Source organism: Homo sapiens, chromosome 22 (assembly GCF_000001405.40).
Source record: "Homo sapiens chromosome 22, GRCh38.p14 Primary Assembly".
NCBI classification, from domain to species: domain Eukaryota; kingdom Metazoa; phylum Chordata; class Mammalia; order Primates; family Hominidae; genus Homo; species Homo sapiens.
In genome coordinates, this window is record NC_000022.11 from 27,901,085 (window position 1) to 27,922,946 (window position 21,862).

The 21,862-nt window shown below is 40.3% G+C and overlaps 1 protein-coding gene, 1 long non-coding RNA gene and 2 other non-coding genes across 10 annotated transcripts in view, besides 5 other annotated features; 2 read left to right on the plus strand and 2 right to left on the minus strand.

Annotated features, from left to right (window-relative positions):
* Positions 1–18,172, minus strand: part of PITPNB (phosphatidylinositol transfer protein beta) — a 67,588-nt gene extending 49,416 nt beyond the window's left edge. For 3 of the 6 annotated variants that reach the window (XM_011530052.3, NM_001284278.2, XM_017028707.2), the window contains exons 1-3: positions 18,018–18,172; positions 13,233–13,263; positions 9,880–10,025 (exon numbers count right to left, since the gene is read on the minus strand). In XM_011530052.3, the coding sequence (XP_011528354.1) occupies positions 9,880–10,025; positions 13,233–13,263; positions 18,018–18,043 (203 nt within the window). In that variant the 5' untranslated portion in view covers positions 18,044–18,172. Of the gene's footprint in view, positions 1–9,879; positions 10,026–13,232; positions 13,264–17,290; positions 17,326–18,017 lie in introns of those variants that run through there. The other 3 variants (NM_001284277.2, NM_012399.5, XM_047441269.1) reach the window with 2 other exon arrangements.
* Positions 17,372–18,357: an enhancer, noted in NCBI's record as "H3K27ac-H3K4me1 hESC enhancer chr22:28314444-28315429 (GRCh37/hg19 assembly coordinates)". NCBI's record gives its function as "activates a minimal SCP1, AML or CMV promoter by ChIP-STARR-seq in naive H9 embryonic stem cells {active_cell/tissue: H9 hESC(naive)}" and the evidence as "EXISTENCE:reporter gene assay evidence [ECO:0000049][PMID:30033119]".
* Positions 17,623–17,942: a silencer, noted in NCBI's record as "silent region_13577". NCBI's record gives its function as "represses an Ori minimal core promoter by ATAC-STARR-seq in GM12878 lymphoblastoid cells {active_cell/tissue: GM12878}" and the evidence as "EXISTENCE:reporter gene assay evidence [ECO:0000049][PMID:35858748]".
* Positions 18,133–18,202: a silencer, noted in NCBI's record as "silent region_13578". NCBI's record gives its function as "represses an Ori minimal core promoter by ATAC-STARR-seq in GM12878 lymphoblastoid cells {active_cell/tissue: GM12878}" and the evidence as "EXISTENCE:reporter gene assay evidence [ECO:0000049][PMID:35858748]".
* The window catches only part of TTC28-AS1 (TTC28 antisense RNA 1), an 83,304-nt gene continuing 79,733 nt past the window's right edge, over positions 18,292–21,862 (plus strand). The window contains exons 1-2 of one of the 2 annotated variants that reach the window (NR_026962.1): positions 18,292–18,461; positions 20,934–21,094. This is a non-coding gene — a long non-coding RNA (TTC28 antisense RNA 1). The remainder of the gene's footprint in view (positions 18,462–20,933; positions 21,095–21,862) is intronic. The other variant, NR_026963.1, reaches the window with a different exon arrangement.
* Positions 18,358–19,342: an enhancer, noted in NCBI's record as "H3K27ac-H3K4me1 hESC enhancer chr22:28315430-28316414 (GRCh37/hg19 assembly coordinates)". NCBI's record gives its function as "activates a minimal SCP1, AML or CMV promoter by ChIP-STARR-seq in primed H9 embryonic stem cells {active_cell/tissue: H9 hESC(primed)}" and the evidence as "EXISTENCE:reporter gene assay evidence [ECO:0000049][PMID:30033119]".
* Positions 18,513–18,692: an enhancer, noted in NCBI's record as "active region_18803". NCBI's record gives its function as "activates an Ori minimal core promoter by ATAC-STARR-seq in GM12878 lymphoblastoid cells {active_cell/tissue: GM12878}" and the evidence as "EXISTENCE:reporter gene assay evidence [ECO:0000049][PMID:35858748]".
* On the minus strand, positions 19,441–19,528 carry MIR3199-1 (microRNA 3199-1). Its single transcript, NR_036169.1, has one exon. It is a non-coding gene; the product is annotated as a microRNA 3199-1 (primary transcript).
* Positions 19,442–19,527, plus strand: MIR3199-2 (microRNA 3199-2). The gene has a single exon (NR_036170.1). It is a non-coding gene; the product is annotated as a microRNA 3199-2 (primary transcript).

Sequence of the window (21,862 nt, forward strand, 5' to 3'; positions counted from 1 at the left end):
GGAACAGCGTTCACTTACCTCAAGGTAAACATGGCTAGATTTCAGCTGCTTAAGAGTGAAGAGTTAAGAGTTACCCATAGCACAATGCCCAGGACCATGAAGACTCTTCAGGAATACATACCGCTTCTCCCACTCTGAATAGTACTTTAAGACTATTTAACTTCAGGGTAAAATATGACCATAAGGTACACTGAACGCCTGATCTAGGCACATTCCTTTTTTAATCCTATTCCTGAGATAAATAATACCATGCACTTTTCCCTGGAAATTATTATGTCTATCTGTAAACCACACAAGCAAGACAACTTTTCCCACCCTTCTCCTTCCCACTGCAGATGAACATCAAAACACAGAAAAATATAGGGAAGAATTTGAAGACCAGATTAATTTACCATAAATAAACCAATTAATCTTTCATTTTACAATCAACTGAAATATCCCCTAAATACACTGTGATGCCTTCTCTTCACTAGTCAGGAAAAGCTCAGCTGAGAAGGCAAGAAAAGAAAAGAAAGGGCCAGGTGCGGTGGCTCACACCTGTAATCCAAGCACTTTGCCAGAGGTCAAGGTGGGAGGATCACCTGAGGTTGGGAGTTCGAGACCAGCCTGGCCAACATGATGAAACCCTGTGTCTACTAAAAACACAAAAATTAGCTGGACATGGTGGCGGGTGCCTACAATCCCAGCCACTTGGGAGGCTGAGGCAGGAGAGTCGCTTGACTCAGGGAGGTGGACGCTGCAGTGAGCCAAGATCACACCACTGTACTTCAGCCTGGGGACACAGTGAGACTGTGTCTCAAAAATAATAATAATAAATATATATATACCTACATACATAAAATACTGGGTACCTCATTCATTCATCCACTCAAATATTTCCTGTGTCCACTGCGCCAGGCCAGGGGCTGTGTAAATAATGGTGAGTACGCAGGGACGACTCCTACTCAGAACTTATTTCCAGGGATGGAGGCAGAAAACAGATTAGTAAACAACAAAATACAAAGAGAATTACTTAACAAGCAGTGCAGTGAAATTAAAGAACAGGGTACTGGGCAATCAGTAAGTGGAGCAAGGGTATTCGGGAAGGCCTCTCTGAGGAAATAATATTACAGCAGTGATCCAAGGGTACGGAGGCAGGGAACAGAACAGCAAGCAGAGGGAACAGCATGACTACAGGTCCTAAGACAGCAAAAGACTTAACGTGCTTGAGCCACTCTTAGGCCTCCAGCATGGCTAGACTGCAGTGACCAAACATGGAGAGAGGGCAGAAAGACCACATGGGCCCCACCTTATACGTCACAGAGTTTAGATTTTATTCTTTGGATGATGGGAAGCCACTGAAAGCTTTAAAAAGGGGAATGGCACAACCTGATTTCAGTTTTACGACCATTCTGGCTTTGTGTGAAAAATTAATTGGAGTGGGAAAGAATGGATGCAATTATTGAGTTAATTGCAAAAATTAACTCAAAATGGATAAAGACTTAAATAAAAACTAAAACTATAAAATTCTTATAAGAAAATACAGATGTAAATCTTTATGATCTTGGATTGGGCAATGATTTCTTTGATGACACCAAAAGCATAAACTACAAAAAGAAAAAATAAATTGGACTTCATCAAAATCATAAACTATTTTTTTCTTTGGTTTTTTAAGAGACAGGGTCTTGCTGTGTCACTAGGCTGGAGAACAGTGGTGTAATCATAGATCACTGCCACCTCTAACTTCTGGGCTCAAGCGATTCTCCCACCTCGTCTCCTGAGTAGCTATGACAAACAGGTACGCTGTACTGTGACTGGGCTAATTTTTAAATTTTTTTGTAAAGATGGGGTCGCAGTATGTTTTGCTATATTGCCCGGGCTGGTCTTGAAATCCTGGCCTCAAGCAATCCTCCCACCTCAGCCTCTTAGGTAGCTGGGACTATAGGCAAACACCAAAATTAAAAACTTTTTAAGCTTCAAAAGACACTATCAAGAAAGTGAAAAGATAACTCACAGAATGGGGGAAAAATCTGCAAATCACCTCTATGATAAGGAACTAGTACCCGGAATATATAAATAAGACAACTTAACAAAGAAAACTCAATTTCAAAATGGGCAGCCAGAGGCCAGGCATGGTGGCTCAGGCCTATAATCCCAGCACTTTAGGAGGCCGAGGAGGGTAGATCACCTGAGGTCAGGAGTTCGAGACCAGCCTGACCAACATGGAGAAACCCCGTCTCTACTAAAAATACAAAATTAGCCAGGCGTGGTGGTGCATGCCTGTAATACCAGCTACTCGGGAGGTTGAGGCAGGAGAAGCTCTTGAACCCGGAAGGCGGAGGTTGTGGTGAGCCGAGATCACGCCATTGCACTCTAGCCTGGGCAACAAGAGTGAAACTGTCTCAAAAAAAAAAAAAAAAAAGAATGGGCAGCCAAGGCCAGTGGCTCACACCTGTAATCCCAGTACTTTGGGAGGCTGAAGCAGGAGGATAGCTTAAGCACCAGGAGTTGGAGACCAGCCTGGGCAATACAGGGAGACCCCCCACCTCTACAAAAAAAAAAATTAGCAGAGCACAGTGGTGCACACCTATGGTCCCAGCTACTCGAGAGGCTGAGGTGGGGGGATTGCTTGAGCCCAGGAGTTCAAGGCTACAGTGAGCTATCATCAAGCAACTGCAGTCCAGCCTAGATGACATAGTGAGACCCTGTCTCCCAAAAAAAAAAAAAAAAAAAACTAAAAAGAAAGTGGGGGTACAAGATTTGAACAGATATTTCTTCAAACAAAGAAGATATACAAATGACCAAAAAGCACTTGAAAAGATGTTAACATCATTAATCACCAAGAAAATGCAAATCAAAACCAAAACCACAATGAGATACCACTTCACACACACTAGAATGCTTGTAATAAAAAAGATAATGAGGATGTGGAGAAACTGGAACCTTCATACACTGCTGATAACATTATAAAGTGGTGTAGTTGTTTCGGGAAGCTGATTGACAGTTCCTCAAAAGGTTAAACACAGAGTGATCATATGACCCAGCCAATTTCACTCACAGCAATATATATCTCCAAGAGAACTGAAAACATGTTCACACACACACAAAAAAGTATGCACAAATGTTAACAGCAGCATTACTTGTAACAGCCAAAAGTGAAAACAACCCAAATGTTCAACAACTGATGAATGGATAAACAAAATGTGGCAGGCCTATACAATGGAATATTACTCAGCAATCAAAGCAGTAGTGATACATGCTTTAACACAGACAAGCCTTGAAAACACGCTAAGTGAAAGAAGTCAATCACGGAAGGCCACATATTACATGATTCCATTTATATAAAATATCCACAGTATATCTACAGAGACAGAAAGTAGATCAGTGGTTGCCAGGCACTGGGAGGAGTGGGTAATAGTCAGTGACTGCTAATGAATACGAGATTTCTTTCTGGATTGTTGAAAATGTTCTGAAATTAAGTAACAATGGCAGTTGCCCAACTCTGTGAATATACCAAAAACTACTGAAGTGTGCATTTTAAAAGAATGAATTTTATGGCATATAAATTATATCTCAATTAATTTTAAAGTCAGAAAAAGAATGGATGGCAAAATATCAGCCAGGAGGCAAGTCTAAGAGAGAGAAGGTAACTTTGATTGATTAACAGTAATGATGGAGATGGAAGAAAGAAAGAAAAGAAGATACAAGAGGAGGGAAATTACAGAAATGATTTACAACCCCAGTTTGTGGGAAGGGAATAAAATAACCAGACACAAACTGCCTAACTTCTGGGAGACAAGAGACTCTAAAGTCCTGGAGAATTACAAAAAACAAAGAGAAAAGTATTTTTCACACAATAAAAGGGGAATAATAAATGAAAAATGAGATACACCATCAAGAGGAAACAATATATTTCAGAAAATACTTCTGATATTTTTCAGAAACAGGATCACTCTTGATTTGGAAAACTCTGAACTGTGAAAACTTTAGGACTAAACTACATATAATGACAAATAACATGTGTCTATGATGGCTAATTCTTGACTCAAGAACAAATTATGTTTGGCTGATATTTATAAATTTTTCCTTTACTTTTTTTGTTTGAGACGGAGTCTCACTCTTGTCTCCCAGGCTGGAGTACAATCATTATCTTGGCTCACTGCAACCTCCACCTCCCAGGTTCAAGCAATCCTCCTGCCTCAGCCTCCCAAGTAGCTGGGATTACAGGTGCCTGCCACCACATTCCGCTAAATTTTTTGTATTTTTAGTAGAGACGGGGTTTCACCATGTTGGCCAGGCTGGTTTCGAACTCCTGACTTCAAATAATCCACCCGCCTTGGCCTCCCAAAGTGCTGGGATTCCAGGCAAGCCACCACACCCAGCCTATTAATTTCTTACATGTGCAAGATGCTCTCTGAATGTGAAGAAGTATGTTACAATCAATCCTTTCATTTTCAAGTGATTTAAATTCCTCATTTTTAAACATAATTTAAGTTCCTGGCAAATGACTCCTTTTGCTTACAAAAATGAACTCTTACCTTGGAACCACATGAAATTTTAAAATAACTATTTTTCAATAAAAACCTCTTCTGTTTCGACCTTTGGGAAACAAGGTGGTTCTGGAGTTGGCAAAGCTTTATAAATTCCCCATCAATCAGGACTGACTGAAGATGGCGAAAGTGTAACACTTACGCAGAATAAGAAATAATAAAGCTGACTTTCCTCAAGAAGGGTGAGCAAATAAACTAGCAAAAAGGACTGGTCAGTGTGTTCGTACAGTGAGGTCTCAGGAGAGCTACAAGCTTTTCTCTGAAATACCATCTGAAAGTTACAACACATTTCTTTGTCTTGCTCCAAAATTCTCTGCCCAGTAAATTCCTTCCTCTTTCACTGCCATCTACTACTAAGTTATTATCAAAGAAACAAACTTTAGTGGAAAACAGGATACAACAAGACAAACATGCACATATGGAAATATATGACTAGGTATCAAAATGAGTCGAAATGACAAATATGATGGATTTAGGGAAGAGGGATCGAAGTGAATAAAATCAGCCATGGAATGCCTCTGCATAGGATAGTTCTGAGGTGTACTCAGAAAACCAAGCAGGTTATGAGAGGCCCCAGCATAAGGGGCTGAAAAAAACGCTCAGGGTGGGCTGAACAGTTTATGTTAGGAAGACAGCAGAGACTGGATTGCTTACAGCCAAGGGTTTTTGTTCTGGATGGACTTATACAATTGGGAATCTTAAATACCTTGTTAAGTTTAGCTTTATTTTGGAAGAAGACTTTAGACGTTAAAGACTTCAGAGAAAGTAAGAGATGGTGAAACCTGTGGTTTTGGAAGAATTTTTCTCTAAACTCCCAAGGAGTTAACTTCAGGAAATGGAAAATAACTCTTCCACAGGATTCAGACGTAGAGCAAAGTGGTTAGTTGAGCAAAGTGGTTAAGAGGGCAGGTTCTGGAGTTGGTCTGTGTTCAAGTCCTATCTCTGCTACCAAATAGCAGTGAGACATGTGGTAAGTTAAACCTTTCTGGACCTCAGTTTCCTCACTATAAAAAGTTGCTGTGAGGAATGAATAAACTCCCACCTAAAACACTTCCAATAACCCAGTGACCAGCACACAGTAAAAATACATAAGTACTAGATCTGTTCAGAATTACCATGGGCAAACACTCACTCTAAGTTATCAAACAAAATATGGACAAAATCTCATTATCCCATGAGATGATGTATCACCTGAGATTCAAGGAAACCAGACATTTCAAATGTCCCGTGCAATGAGTAACCAACTTTCAGATTTTGTCAATATTCACAAAGACTGTTTCTCAACCTTCTGGTTGAGATTAAGTGTATATATGCTACCAAGAAGTGTTTTGCTGAAATGGGAAAGCATACAGGTCAGGGAATCCAGAGACTTGAGTTATACTGGCTAAAGTAGATCTCAGAATTTCAAGTATCTCAAAAGTAAAATAAGGCCTTGGTGGCCTTAGTCAAGTTTGTAGTTTTATTGATGTTATATAGTGACGGTGCACCCAGCTTAGGATAATTTATGGAGTAAATGTTGTTGAAAAAGCAAACATATTACTAGACACAAATTTAACTTCCTCAGGGAGAGCTCTAAAACTAGCTAGGGACTATGGGTATGTCTTCAGCATGCTGAGATGATGCCCTAAAGAAAACTGTGAGTCTCATGGGGCTGCACCTTTAGGCTTGCCTTGGGATGGAGGTCTTTCCTGCAGAACAGTGAAGGCCTCAGCACTTACTACTAAATGATTCTTTGCCCTTCCATAATATAGTTATCCTGTGGCTGATGTGCTTTCAATGTTGACACTGAGAAATTTGTCATTGTGGACATCTGACTGCCCCATAGCCATTCCCTCCTCCAGAGGACAGCAAATGGGCCCTGTTTTGCCCAGTTTATTTATTATTGGTTAGGTTTTTGTTCCTCACTACTGTCAGAATAGTCATTATTTCCCATGCTGCCTGAGACTCATTACTGCCACCCTCTTGCCTTTTTCCCTTTCCTGTCTCATTCCTCTCTGTGCTTTTGCCCACAGCTGCCATCTTTGTGTGATAAGGCCAACCTTCTATGGGAATCAACCCTCGCCATCCCAGCAGATCCCCTCTCTCCCTTCTCATGGGAGTGCCTTGTATTCATCAGGCATCTGGGACTTGATGTGGGTGTGGGATTTGAAATCAGAGCACCTAGGTCTCTGTCACCATTCTGTCACTTATTAGCTGTGACCTTGGGTAAATACGTGCCTTAGTGTCTTAGGTACAATATGAATATTGTCTATTTCTCAGGATTGCAATGACAAGTAAATGAGTGCATGAGAGGGTAAAACCACAGGGTACTCCGCTCCTCCTAGGAATGGAGAAGTTGTTCTAGAAGCCCAAATGTGCTGGAAGGTTGGCCACCGAGAGCCAAAATCTTCTTTTATTTAACCACTGAAAGCCTGAGAGGAATTCTGAACCTCATCCCCAAATAACCTCTCCGGAATAAGAATATCTCTTGCACTAACCATATTTATCTAGCCCTCTTCAACTTACGAGACTCCTTATTCATGACTGGAGTGTTACCTAAATCAACTGTTTCAAAAATCATATTTAACATTCCTTTTCTTTCTCATAAAAATGAAAATACAGAAGAGAATATTTATCACCTGGTAGTGGGATATGGGTGATTTAAGTGGGATTTTTTAAATCACCCATATCCCACTACCAGGTGATAAATATTCTCAACATCTTAATGTACCTCTTTTAGGCTTTTTTTTTTTCTGATTTTTTTCAAAACACATGTAATGTATTATGTATTACACATTATTTCAAACTGTTCTTTTCCATGCAAGAATGTATCAAACACTTCCTCAACATTCCAACTCTTAGATTTCAACCAGAGGACATTTTGAATCTATTTCAAATTTATTTACTTATAGGATAGTGATCTAAACAGAACATCAGAGGCCAATAAAAAATTTTATACATCAAACTTTTTGGCTTATTTTAGAACCCCCAGGAAGAGTCCAGTGTCTTTAAGAGGAACTTTTATATGTGGTGGGGTATACTTCAATTAACAGGTAAATGCAAAAATGCTAGAAAAAGAAAGCTGAGTATATATAAGCAAATTCAAAACTTTAAATATATATAGACTATACCATCTGGAATGCCAAAATCTTCTCTCAATAGACATATTTTTCAGATATACTTAGGGTACTAACAAATTAATAGAAACCATGAAAAGACCTTCCTTATGGATAATTGATTGATCAGAGTTACTGCCTTATTTCTTAAGTCAAACCAGCAACAGAAGCAAAGAAATGCTGTATTCTAAGCGAAAATAATGATAAAATTTAAGGTTCTATAAAGAGATAAGATTATGTGTCACTATAAACCAAGGATGAGTAGGTTATGGGTCACTGTAAATCAAGTAGCAGAGTTAAGCTGAGGAAATATAAAAAAAATCTGATCATGACAGCTACAACTTTAAGGAGTTCCACAAAACATGAGTATGATTCATTTCAATATGAAGAGAATAGAGGCAAAAGATCCCCCACCTGTAATTAACTAGGGAGACAATGACAAAATGGACTCTTAAAAGCCATTACTGGTCTTCTGCCCTTAGATAAATACTGGTAGTACTTTTTTTTTTTTTTTTTTTTTTGGCTTGTTTCTTCTTTTTGTGGAGATGAGGTCCCACTATATTGCCCCGACTGGTCTCAAACTCCTGAGCTCAAGCAATACTCCCACCTCAGCCTCCCAAGTTCTGGGATTATAGGCCTGAGCCACCACACTTGGCCAGCATTTTTTGTTTTAAAATATTTATGCCAAAGATACAGATTAGACTGCCAAACTTAAGGGAATGTGCAAAAAAACTTCAACAAACCAAAGAGAAAAGAAACAATGAAGAAAGCATATGAAGAGTCAAAAGTCATACAAGAAATTCAAATGGTCAATTAACATAAAAAGACATTCAACCTCACTAATAAAGAAATACAAATTTTAACAAGAGACTATCTTTTGTCTACGAAATTAGCAAAAATTAAAAAGAAAAATATGGAAAAATACTATCAAACTCTTGAAGGGCAATTTTGGCAGTAATATCAAAATTTAAAAGGTGCATGTCCTCCCAGCAATCCTTTTATTAATTTCTCATTTTATAACTTCTCTTAGGAACAGTAACCTAAGGCATATAGACACATGTACAACCATGTTCATAAAAGTTTATTTTTTGAGACAGCGTCCATCTTGTTCTTTCGCCCAGGCTGAAGTGCAGTGATCACAGCCCACTGCAACCTCTAACTCCTGGGTCCAAGTGATCCTCCCACCTCAGCATCCCAAGTAGCTGGGACCATAAGCGTACACCACCATGCCCCACTAATTTCTTTTTTTTTTTTTTTTTTTGAGACGGAGTCTCGCTCTGTCACCAGGCTGGAGTGCAGTGGTGTGATCTCGGCTCACTGCAACCTCCACCTCCTCGGTTCAAAAGATCCTGCTGCCTCAGCCTCCCAAGTAGCTGGGACTATAGGCGTGCGCCACCACACCCAGGCTAATTTTTGTATTTTTAGTAGAGACAGGGTTTCACCATGCTGACCAGGGTGGTCTCGATCTCTTGACCTCGTAATCTGCCCGCCTCAGCCTCCCAAAGTGCTGGGATTACAAGCGTGAGCCACCGCGCCTGGCCAATTTTTTTGCTGTTGTTGTTGTTGTACTAGAGATGGGGTCTCCTTGTGTTGCCCAGGCTGGTGTCGAACTCCTAGGCTTAAGCAATCCTCCTGCCTCTGTCTCCCAAAGTGCTGAGATTACAGATGTGAGCCACCACACCTGGCCAGAAACATTATTTATAACAGACAAAAACTAGAAAATTCTAAAATACCTAAATGGACTTACAACGTAGGGAATGGTTAAGTAAACTATACTATGTCCAGAAGAAATTTTACTTAGCTTTAAAAAGAATCACACAGATATTAAATAACAATATGGAAGATGTTCATCAGAAATAAAGCAAACTGCAAAACCATTCATATGGTCCATTTGTTGTAGAAAACTAAAATTGATACAAGTAATACATCGCTATGTTTTAAAAATTCCTTTGAATATATACAGAAAATGATCTAGAAAGATAAACTCTAAGCTGCTTCTAGTGTTTCTCTCTGTGTTACAAATATTTGATGGCAAGGAGCAGGGACTAAGTTTTTATCTGAATTTTTGTTATAAGCAGATATAATCCTTTTCTAATTTACAAATAAAGGAGGAGGTTCTGCCAAAGAATTAAAATGCAATATATTATCAAACTGAAATTAAAAATGTACTTCACATCTACTAGTTAAGTTAGCTAGTTACATGCATCATAAGTAAGCCAGGTAGTTACAAGGCGTCAAATGTGAACACCGCTTACCTCTTTAGGTGATAAATTTTGTGCGTATACTGTCCCTTTTCTCCATCCTTCTCATAAGGTTCATTCTTTAAGACTTCAATTCCTTCTCCACCACCAGTCTCATTCTTACTAGCTTCTGCAACAGAGTAAAGCTGCCCAACCTGATACTGAAATTTCAAAGAATACAGAAACTGAGTAAGTCAGTAGTAACTGCAGAAATTTAGTATGCTAAAATCTTAATAATATAGATGATATAGAAAAGCATATCCAAACCATTCAGCACAACTGTGTTCAATATGAAAACACAACTCAAATTAGAAATTAATACGTTTAGGAAGACAAACCACAGATTATTATACAGTTTTAAAAACCTGTATTTTATAAACTTTCATTATTCAAAAAATTTGCCAGTTACAAATACTCTGGTGCCTTTACACTACCCATTTATCAAGAAAATGTCTCGAAACTTGGTTTAACTTTTGAACAATATATATTTGTACTTTACAAAGCATTTTCACCTCTATTATTTCTCATTTAACTTCACAAAATTCCAAGAAAGGTATGGCAGAAATACAACTGGCACTTTGCCAACTAAAGCTGAGCAACCAGCATATTGCTCTTAATGATAAAGGGGAGGGATGTAAACTGTAATAACAAAAGCCTGGAGATCCAAAGAAACATAATAGATAGTCCAAATCTTAGTAGACTTCTGGGGTCATTTTTAACTTATGACTTATTTATGATACACTCAATTTGGTCCTTCTTCAGCTAACCAGAAACAGTATTGGGGGCCCAAGATCAGAAATGGTTCATTGTGAGTCCTCAAGTAAAGAGAACAAACAGAAACTGTTTTTAAAGTAATATGAATGTATACATATTACCATAAAAGGTAGGAAATTGCTGACAGTAGCTTCTATTTCATTTAACGTGAATCAGAAATCTCAGAGGCCTCCATCAATACCTGTAAGTCAACTGTATTTTCTACGCCAATCTGGAGTCGCTAGTTCCAACAAATGTTGGAAAAAGTTCTCGTGTTCTAATTTGTTACAGTGACCCAACTGTGGCACTATCTTCCATCACTTCAAATTTGGCTAAATTTCTTCCTTCTAATGAAAACAGCTTGAAGAAGTGTATTTCTTCTTTATAAGCATATTTTCAAAGAAAAACTACAAAAATCTACCTCTAAGAACTTGTAATTTCAAAATTAACATTTTATGTGAGGGACCAAAACAACAGGTAGTTTAAGCTCAGTAAACATTCATATCTACAAATCACATGGAGATATGATGCTATCTTGCCTATTAGTTAAATTTAAAAACACACCCACACACACACTCTTACTCAATTTGGAAGTGTTTGGGAAGTTGAAACCAAACATATTTCTTAAATGCTCCCAAAATAAATTTCTGTAGGGCCTGCAGACAGGACTGCATTTCTCCTTTTGGCTTTCCATGATACAACACTAGGGTTAGTCTAATAATGCCACAATCCTTAAATACCTTCAACATGTACTTTTAAACACTATCATATTCTAAAACAGGACTAAAATGAGTCTAGGTCAAAAGATAAATTTCATTTTGGTCAGGAACACACAATAACAATATTCAAATGAACTGTATCCAAAAAAACGTTAATGGACTGACATTTCATGGCATGCTACTTAGTTTTCTCTCATTCTCCTTTTTTAAGAATAAAAAATTAAAAAAAAAAAGAATAAGAAATAGACACAGAAGGCATGTTTTAAAAATGTGCATACAGGCCTGGCACAGTGGCTCATGCTTGTAATCCCAAGGCTTTGGGAGGCTGAGGCAGGTGGATCACTTGAGGTCAGGAGTTCGAGACCAGCCTGACCAATATGGTGAAACCCGGTCTCTAATAAATATACAAAAATTAGCCAGGTGCGGTGGCGGGTGCCTGTAATCCCAGCTACTAGGGAGGCTGAGGCACGGAGAATTGCTTGAACCCAGGAGGCGGAGGTTGCAGAGAGCTGAGATCGCAATACTGTACTCCAGCCTGGGCGATAGAGCAAGACTCCATCTCCAAAAAAAAAAAAAAAAAAAAGGTGGGGGGGGGAGTATAACAAAAAGCCGAGAACAGTATTTTCAGTGACAATACCAAGACTCAAAAAGATTTCGACAAGCTGATTCAACCAGCTGAAATCAAAAGAAAAAGTCTAACAGAAACAAGTGTCAATTTCCACATTCAACTTCAAACAATCAATTGTGCAAATAGAGAACAGGGTGCCTAGCTTCTCTGGAGTGTTTTAATACAGTGAATCCTCCTGAGATATAAACAACTGTGTTCAAGTCTACACTAAACAGTGCCAGACAGCTACTCTTTTTCACTTCCTGCATTTCTTTCTGTCTTCTGTCAGCTGTCACTTCTTAGGTTATCAGTTTGTTTTGTCCCACTTCCAAGTCACTGCTTCTAATCTACTGTCAGCTCTAGGAAAACCAGATAACTGAGCAAATGGGAACTGTGTGCAAGTTACAGAAGAGCCTAGAGGGTTTTATGGGTTTTGCTATATATATCTTGATTTCTCAGAAGCTGTTTCTGCTCTTATCTTCATTCTTGTCTACAATACACATGGCTATAACTGCAGGACATGCAAGTTCTGAATAGGTGATATATTTCTGTATCATGTCCAGACTGAGGAAAACAATAAGCTCTTACAGTTGTGTGCTGTTCATACCATGTCTGGAATACTGTTTTCAGTTCAGATCAACAATTACAACACATATAGTAACAGGACCAGCTGGTAGCAAGTCCACATATCATGCTGTATTAAGCCAAGTGAATGTGCTGGGAATGTTTAACCTTGAGACTTTCTAAGATGAAATAAAAGTGCTTGTGGGGGATGGGGTTGGCTGGAGGGGAGAGCTGCCATCAGAAAACCTGAAGGATTAACCACTACAAGACAGAACAGGCTTATTTCCCATTGCTCAAATGGGATAAACTGTAAACAAGAGTCAAGCATTATAGGAAAAGCAGATTTTGGTTCAAACACAAATGTTTAAAATGTCCAACAGTAAAGTAGGCTGCTTCTCTAAGCAGCAAGCTACTTAACCTTAAAGTACTTAAGTTGAGGCTGGAGCCTCATTTCTCTGGGATGTTGGAGAAAGAATTCCTGCACTAGACAGGAGGTTAAACTACATTCTTTAGACTCTTCCAAAACAAGGCAGTGTAGCAAGAAATTCATTATCATTCATTTAATTCATTTTGCAATTCTTTGCAATTATCATTCATATAATTAATTTTGTCACATAAGGTGGAATGAAAAGGTAAATCAATACTACGAAAATGTGAGTTTAGAGTAACATATCAAAGTACAGTACATATACCAATAAAATGATGCAGAAGCAAGAAAAACTCACCTCCTGAACAGAACATGGCAAAACCACACGGCTAAAAAGACAAAAGAAAAAATATATATATTACATATGAAATAGCTTTAAACACAGATCTCTGAAGAGGTTTTACCTTAAATCCAATGATAACAGAGACAGGTCTCTTAAATCAAAAAAATACAAGGGTGTCATTTATGGAAGAGGGTCTTTGCAATGCCTACACCATAATTGGGGAACTAAAACTATCATTCCTGGGTCTCAATGATCATTTGCATTTAGTGTTCCCAGGACCCCAAACAGCAGCTGCAGAGATTCTTGTGAGTAAAGAAAAAAGAGAAAACTCAACATTGAAAATTGCAGGGTACAGAACGTATTATTTGCAGATTGTCTGGTCAGGTTGCCCTGACTAAATTTTTAGTATGGTTTCATTCTCCACCTATATACTGTGCATTTTGTTTTTATGATGCTTCTTACAGAATACGTGTCTTGAATCTCATTGAATAAACGCTTCCAGAAACTGTTCCCCCACTATTCAATTATTCCTCAAGTTTACTAAGAGAAAAATAAGGAGTCGTGTAGAATTAGTAAGAAAAATTTTACTATGGAAACTACTTGAACCTTATAATAATCCCTTCCAGCATATATACAATATAAGGTTGACATGTGTTTCATCCTGTCCAAGAGTTTCTTATTGTATATACCAAAAAGATGTCATTATAGCTCCATTGCAAGCAGTCTTAAAAGATAAAATCCAAAACAGTATCATGGTATATTGTTTTATCAAAATATTGCATCTTATCTCTAGATTTTATAAGGAGAGTCCTTAATTTATTTCCACCATAAATCCTGAAAACCAAGAACATCCCTGTATATCAATGGTCTCATAATTATAGTTGGTTCCAAGACAGCAACTTCCTTTTTTGTGGGATGGGGGTATACGATCCTTCTCATACTTTCCTAATCTTATCTGTCATTTTATGGAAAATTTTCAATAGTTTTCCTCATTCCAATTTCTTTTCAGCTTATAATTTCTTTTTCTTTTTTTCTTGCAGTAAGAGTCATTTAGCTTATTGTTTGTATTAGTGACAATCTTTTTGGCCTAGGCATTCTTTTTTAATAGTCTTTCTTATTCGTAAGTATGAAGAGAGTAATAAAACCCAGATTATATCTAGTTTGCATTCCAGCTACACTTTCCATCTACTCCTTTCTCCCTACTCTCCTCAAACATCTATGTCTGAATGTTCACATTACCTCAATCTCCAACATGCACAAGTCTGTTACTCCCTCCCCTTTGACTACTGAGTTACTCGCCACTCTTTGTCTTTCTGGTAACGGTGATTCAAAAACAATGAACACTCTCAAATCCACAATGGTCACTAATTTCTACTCTCCATCAAGAATAAACTTTTTGTAAGTCCTTCTATACCTAAAAATTCCGAATCATTTCTCTTCTCAGTATACACTAACTTGCTCACTGTCCCAGAGCATAAAATGAGGGAGAGGAAGACTAGAAAGCTATAGGTTGGGAGCAGATTATCAGGACCTGGAATACTATGGTAAGAAATCCATTAAATTCATCAGGCAATAAGGAATCCCAAAAGGTTGGTCCAAGAGGTAAGTGACAACTACTGCTGACCTGAAGAAGTCATCTGCAGGTGGTTGAAAACACTGACAAGCAGGAGAAGTGGGGAAAGCTATCTTTTGGGAGGCTAGGCAAGAACTGTCACAAAGGCCTGAACCAAGATGATGGACTGCAGAGGGAATGGAAGGAAGGGATAGAGAAAGAAGAGTTAGTCTTCCCTTAAGTTTCACAAAACCAAAGAATCACTGCTGAGTAATTTTACACTCACTAACAGGAAGATCCCTATTTTTATTTAAGAACACTTTCAAGGAAATTCTTTCAAAAAATTAAAGTGACTGATTAAGACATTCAGAACAATGAGTCAAGTAACTTCTTCAAGATTTGCTTAACAAGTAAAAGGGAAAAGGAACATACAGGCTTTGATTTTCTGTTGTTATTCTAAAAGCAGTATTCAACTTTCAGTGCCAGTTGAAAATGTTCAAATGTCTGAAAATCCTCATAAAAATAATTTCCAAATGGAATCAGTAACTAGTTCTTTAAAACCAGGACTTTACATTAATGGTAACTTCATCTACTGCTTAAATAATAACTTGAAGGGAAACAGCCCACCTCGAAAGTCATTTCTAACATTTTAATTCTTATAAAAAAATAAATAGAGGGCCAGGTGCGGTGACTCACACCTGTAATCCCAGCACTTAGTGGGCGGATCACCTGAGGTCATGAGTTCCAGACCAGCCTGGCCAGCAGGGTGAAACCCTGTCTCTACTAAAAATACAAAAAATTTAGCCGGTCATGGTGGCGTGCGCCTGTAGTCCCAGCTACTTGGGAGGCTGAGGCAGGAAAATCGCTTGAACCTGGGAGGCGGAGGTTGCAGTGAGCAGAGATCATGCCACTGCACTCCAGCCTGGGCAACAGAGACTCCGCCTCAAAAAAAAAACATAAAAATAAAAAAGAATTTTATAAGACAACAAACATTTGCCAAAGTATTTTAGTTACCAATATCTTCACATAGGAATAAGCTATTCATTGCTCCTAACCAACAAGAATTTTAGAAAGTTGACTTGAGAGTAAGAAGTATCAATTTTTCATTGAACAACACTGAATTCTTTAGAGCATGTTAGGCCTAGATGCTGTGCTAGATACCGACATTACTTAAGAAACAGCTTCTACCTTCAAAAAGTCTAGGAGGAAAAAAAATCTAGGGGAGATACACATGAAGAGTTAACATCAAGAAACTTAATTTATAACTCTTTGGGAAAAATAATTAGACTTTGGGCACGTGTCAACATTCATTATCTGGGTACATTTAAATCTTCATAATGAAAGCAAATGTTTGCAAAAAGCACAGTGCGCAAATTCCCAATAGGAACTGCTTTCCAAGAGTTAGCTTCATACTACTCACATACTGTCAAAGGGATCTACTGAATACTGTGTGTCTGTAACACTTTTGGAGGGAGGAAATACTCCAATGAAAGAAAAATGACTGGATCTATTTAAAATCAGTTCTGCAACTCACTTGCTGTGTAACTTGGTCCAAGTCAATTTCCTTCTTATTTTCTCCATTTGTTTTAGTGTCTGCCACCCATCTACCCACATCATCTAGAAGTCAGAGTAATGAACACTTGTTTGATACACTGTATAAACGACTTGGAAGAAAAGTTTTATATAAACCCAATATTCAGTACTATAAATAAGCTTTAATTGAGAATTTTCACTCTACCAAAAAAAGGCAAAATGTCTCTTCTCAAAATCCCTGTCACTGACCAAAGTTATCATTTTTCATCAATTCATTAACAAATATTTACTGAGCACCTATTACATGCGAGGGACTATTCTAAAAACTGGGGATATGAGAGTGAGCAAAACAAACTCATGGCCCTTACATGTAAAAAGAGAACACAACTAGTAGGAGAAAAATAATAATAATAAATTGTATTGGCATGTTGGATGGTGATAAGTACTATGGAGACCGATAAAGCAGGGAAGACAAATACCACCCCAAATAGTGGGAACTACAATTAGGTCTTCAGAAAGGGATTCCCTGAGAAGGTGACGTCTGAGCAAAGACCTGGAAGAAGGTGAGTTAGTGTGCCAAGGGAAGAACACTTCAAGCAAAGGGAACAAAAGCAGGTGGAAAGGTCTTGAACTGAACTTATTCTAGAGTAGCAGAGGAACAGCAAGGAAGCTTGCGAAGATGGAATGGGCAAGGAAAAGGTAGTAAATGAGATCAGGGCAGGAAAAAAAAGTGTAAAGCCTTGTAGCTGTTGCAGAGGCTTTGACTTTTATTCTGGGTGAGACAGGGAGTCTTTGGGAGGTATTAAGTCTCAGAGAAGTGCATCAGTGACTTTTTAAAGGAGGTTTAAGAACACTAAAAATAAGGTGTCTGAAAAAAGCTAAATTAAGCCAAAAATATTTCTAAGAATTTAAAATGAAGAATTTGAAAACCAACGAATGGGCCATACTCGACCTCCCTAGCTGCCCAAAGGATGCTGACGACACGAACCAGCTGTGACAGACGAACATTCAGAGGCAAGCAGATTTCCGTAATGTTTACAGTCCTTGCCAGTAGGAAAAGCCGTGACTTTTCAACAAAATCACTTGGCCAGTCGGATGCACCTCGAAATCCCTCCATTTGACAGAGCACGTGTTAACTTCTAAGAAAGTAGGTGGGGCCCGGGATGTCACCTCATCTTAAAACATGCGGAAACCAAAAAGAGAAAAGGCTCTCCCGTCAAGTCAGCGGAGCTGCCCAGGAGAGCGGAGGCTTTCCGGAATCCCGGCTCCACCACGAACTTCAAGGCGCCAGCGTCCCACCGCGAGTCCTGACACGAGGGCTGCCTTCAACCGGCAAGCCCATCTCCCGCTGGTTACCAGGGGACTCCACCCCGGACGACAAATCACAGTCAGAACCAACGTGTCTCTCCCACCCTCGGACTGCGGCTCCTTCCCACCGGCGGGCCTGGGGGTGGGCCCAGACCCAGCCTGGGGGTGGGGGGTTGGGGAGAAGGCGGGTCCCAGCGGAAACTCCCGGCCGCGCCTTCCCGAGCCATGCGCTCGGGCCGGGACCCAGCCGCCTTCGCCCCGGGGAAGGGAGAGGGCGTGTTACCACGGCAATGCCTGGAGGGCCGAGGGGCGCACTCGCTGAGGGGCTTCGAAGGGGCCGGGGGAGGGAGGGGGCGCCCGCAGGGAGGGGCTGACACAGGGCTGACTCCGATTTAGGAATATCCTACCACTTCTCCATCAACAAATCTCCCATCACTGCCGTCCCACGGCCTCGCTCGCGCCCACAGACCCACTCACAATTCCTTGATCAGCACCATCTTCCCGGAACCCCCTCACAGCTGCCGCCGATACCACCGCCGCCGCCGCCGCTACCGCCTCTCACAGCGCCTGCGCGGCCCCGCCTCCCTGCCCCCCCGAGCCACCATCGCGCCTGCGTGCTTACACCCTTCCGCCGCGACCAGTCGCGTCAGCGCGCGAGGGGGCCTAGCTCCGCCCAGTTTCGTGCCCCACCCCGGGCACACGAGGCCTCCACTGCGGTTGCGCAGCCTGCCGAAGAGCGTGCGGCTTCTACTGCGGCTGCGCAAGCTCGACGCGCGCACTCTTGTCTGCTTACGAGGGCTCCTCCCTTCAGCTTTGGTCCCTCGGGGCGTCTGGGCAGCCTACGCTTTCCGGTGAGTTTTCCAGTTGGTTCTTTGGAAGCCGTTTTGCGGTGACTGGTTTTCTGCTCTCTCTCACTGCTCCGAGTCAGGGCCCACCTCCTTGACCGACACCTCACCTCCATAGTCCACATAAAAGACTCCTGACAGGTTCTGGAGGCAGCCGACGCCAGCTTCTGTTCCCCTCCCCAGCCCTTGGCAGCTCAGGTTCCGCGGGAGGACGTTCACCTGCTTCGCGGTCTCGTGGAGGTCCACCGCGGCGGAGAATCCTAAACCTCACCTGTGACTCGGCAGGATGAGCGGCCAGCACTCCCGACGGAGGCCCTCTGGGAGAAAAGAGGCCCTTGGCCTCGAGACCCAGGAAAGCGGGCTGTTCAGGAGTTGGTTCGCGCAGTTACACCGAAAGCGCCGTGGGCCTCAAAGCCGCAGCCCGGAGGTCGCTGGCTTGCTCTGTGTCAGACACGGTTCTAGGCAGTGGGGATGCATCTAGAAGCAGACACAGTCCCTGTTCTCAAGAAGCTCACAGTCTAGAGGAGACAACTCACTTGGAAAGAAAGCAGGGAGAATTTGGGGTGGTGGGGAAGTGCTATGCTATGAATACAGTGGAGTACTGGGAGAAGCAGAGGACTCAAGACAAGGGCTGTCTTAGGAGGCGGTGTTTGAGCCTAGCCTGTTAGGATGTGAGAGGGGCATTCCAGTTGGAGGGAAATATGACCCGAGGATGGAGTAAGCCTAGGGTGTTCAAGGATCAGCTAGAGGGCAGATGTGGCCAGAACATCCTAAGTGAGGGTGGGAAATGAGCTGGGACCAACTGGATTACTAGGCCATAGTAAAGAATTTGTCTTCTAAGAACCATGAGAACCTGTTGAAAGGCTATTAAGACGATTAAAATATCACGAAAACATTTTTGTATAAACATCTGGTGTATCTGATAGTGGAATACATCTGTGGAGTTAGGGCTGCCTCCAAAAAAATAACGGAAATGGACTGACTCAGTGACTCCCAGGGACTGCCTTAGGAGAAAGTTTCTGGAATGTCAGAACTTCCAGAAACTTTCTCCTAAGGCAGTCCCTGGAGTCACCGAGTTTCTCTTATGTGTGACTAGTGCTAGTTATTGTGAGGGCAGAGATTTAAGGAAATACACGCTCTTTCTTGCAAGAGTTGAGAAGCTTAGAATCCGCTTTGTTGATTGGACATTGGATTTTATGCCAAGTACTGTGCTAAGTAATGGAGATATTTTATCTCATTTCACCCTTAGAACATTATGAGATGTATTTTAGCATGTTTTAGGAGGGGGAATAAAATGAGATTCAGGGAGCTATGTTAAGTGACTTGTACTAGCTTGTTTGCAGAGCCAGGTTTCAAGTCCAGATTTTAAAAACTTCAAGGTCTGGTCCATTTATTTCACTAATTTCCTAGATGAAAGTGAAGTTGGGGCGTGCAGACCATCTTTATGACAAATAATTATTCTCAATTATGGAAAGGAGACTAAAGTCAAATTCTAGAAGATATTTAGAAAAATTAAGAGATTGAGTACTATAAATCTGTATGCTTAGGGAGTGTTCTTTAAAGTCTAAGGAGGCAATATTAAAATTAATTGCCAAATTTATGTGGTATGGAGTCATTGTATGTTATAATCTCTCCCCACATGTTATGCTTGTTGAAAAATATAACTTTTTAAACGTTGCAGATAAATTTATGGTTGACATGCTTTATCATTAAGAAACATGAGGACATTTTACGTAATTTCTCTAATTTTTGAAGTCTCCCACAAGTGTTCACTAGTTCTTTTGTCTGCATAACACAATTCTTCTCATAGATAGTACTCAGATGTTTGCGAAATAAACGAGACAGTATGCTGGATGGAGCATACCTCCAAACCCGTATACAATATAGACGGTGCCTCGCTTTCCTATTGTTTAAAAAAATTATTTGATGATGATACTTGTTCAAGTATAGTAAGGCAGACTTTATTCAGGACCTTCGAAATAAGTATACGGACCACTGTAATGGGATTTTGTAGTGGGGGAAAGAGATTGGGCTCAACTCTGAACATAGCATGGGCAAGTAAGAATTTATAGCCAAGGAGCAAGATAGTTAGGGGTAGGGCGATCAGTGGATGGAAAATTATTAAGAGGATATACATCAGGGAGATTCTGGCTTAAGTAACCTAACATAATTCTTGCTGAAGACGTGATCAGACATCATCTGGGGAATGGTGGAGGATGAAGAACAGATACCAAGGATTGGGGAGGTTCTTGTTAAAACTAGATTTTTTAACTGTTGCACAGATAAGCCTAGGCTTGACTAAAGTTTGGTTGGGAGTGTATCTTTGTCACAATCAAAAGATTCATATTAAAATACTCAATTGAGAAACAAGGATAGATAAAGTAACCGGTTTAGATGTATTTATTGACGGAAAGATTAGGTTGCTGGAAAACATGAAATCTATATAATAAAATAATCCTACATTACATCTATTTACAGGATAAAAATGGCAGAATGAAAGAATTATGAGTGGAACTAGAGAATAGGAAAGACATGAACCAACGCCCAAAATGAGAAAGAAGGACATATAAAGAAAAAGACAAATACAAGTGAAAAAAATAGACTAATGGATTAACGTCCCTGTCGTGTGACATTTTCTGGTATGACAGCTGAAGATGTTGAACCGTATGGTGCAGTTTTGCAAATAGTGTATGAAGTGGGTTGTAAGTTTTACCAGTAATTGTCTATAGATACAAAAAGGAGCCAACCTCTTTTTTTTTCTTTTAGTGTGATGTTCCTTGTTCTATCTTCGAACTCTCAAAGGTAGCCTTTACACAGATGTTCAAACTAATTCTACCAGTGTCATATGTCTACCAATCTCATTACTTCCCTTGTATGTACTTCTAGAGCAAAGAGCTCATTACAGTAAGAATGATGGTAAATTTTACTGAGGCAAACAAAGATTTCTGAACGCGAGCAGTGTGTGTGAAATGCTTATGCACTAGCTGATAGCATAACTCTGGTCAAAGAAATTTGGTCACTTAAATATTATAATTGAATTTAGCCCCTAAAGTAGCTGTTCTTAACCTGGAATCTGAAGAACAGCCTGTTGGTGGGGCTCCCAGGGAATTTGTGAACCACTGAAATTATATACATAATTTCATGTCTGTGTACCGTGTACATTTATTTTTCTTACTTTTTTTTGAGATGGAGTTTCGCTCTGTTGCCCAGCCTGGAGTGCAGTGGCACCACCTCAGCTCACTGCAAGCTCCGCCTCCTGGGTTCACACCATTCTCCTGCCTCAGCCTCCCGAGTAGCTGGGACTACAGGTGCCCGCCACCATGCCCGGCTAATTTTTTGTGTTTTTAGTAGAGACGGGGTTTCACCATGTTAGCCAGGATGGTCTCAATCTCCTGACCTCGTGATCC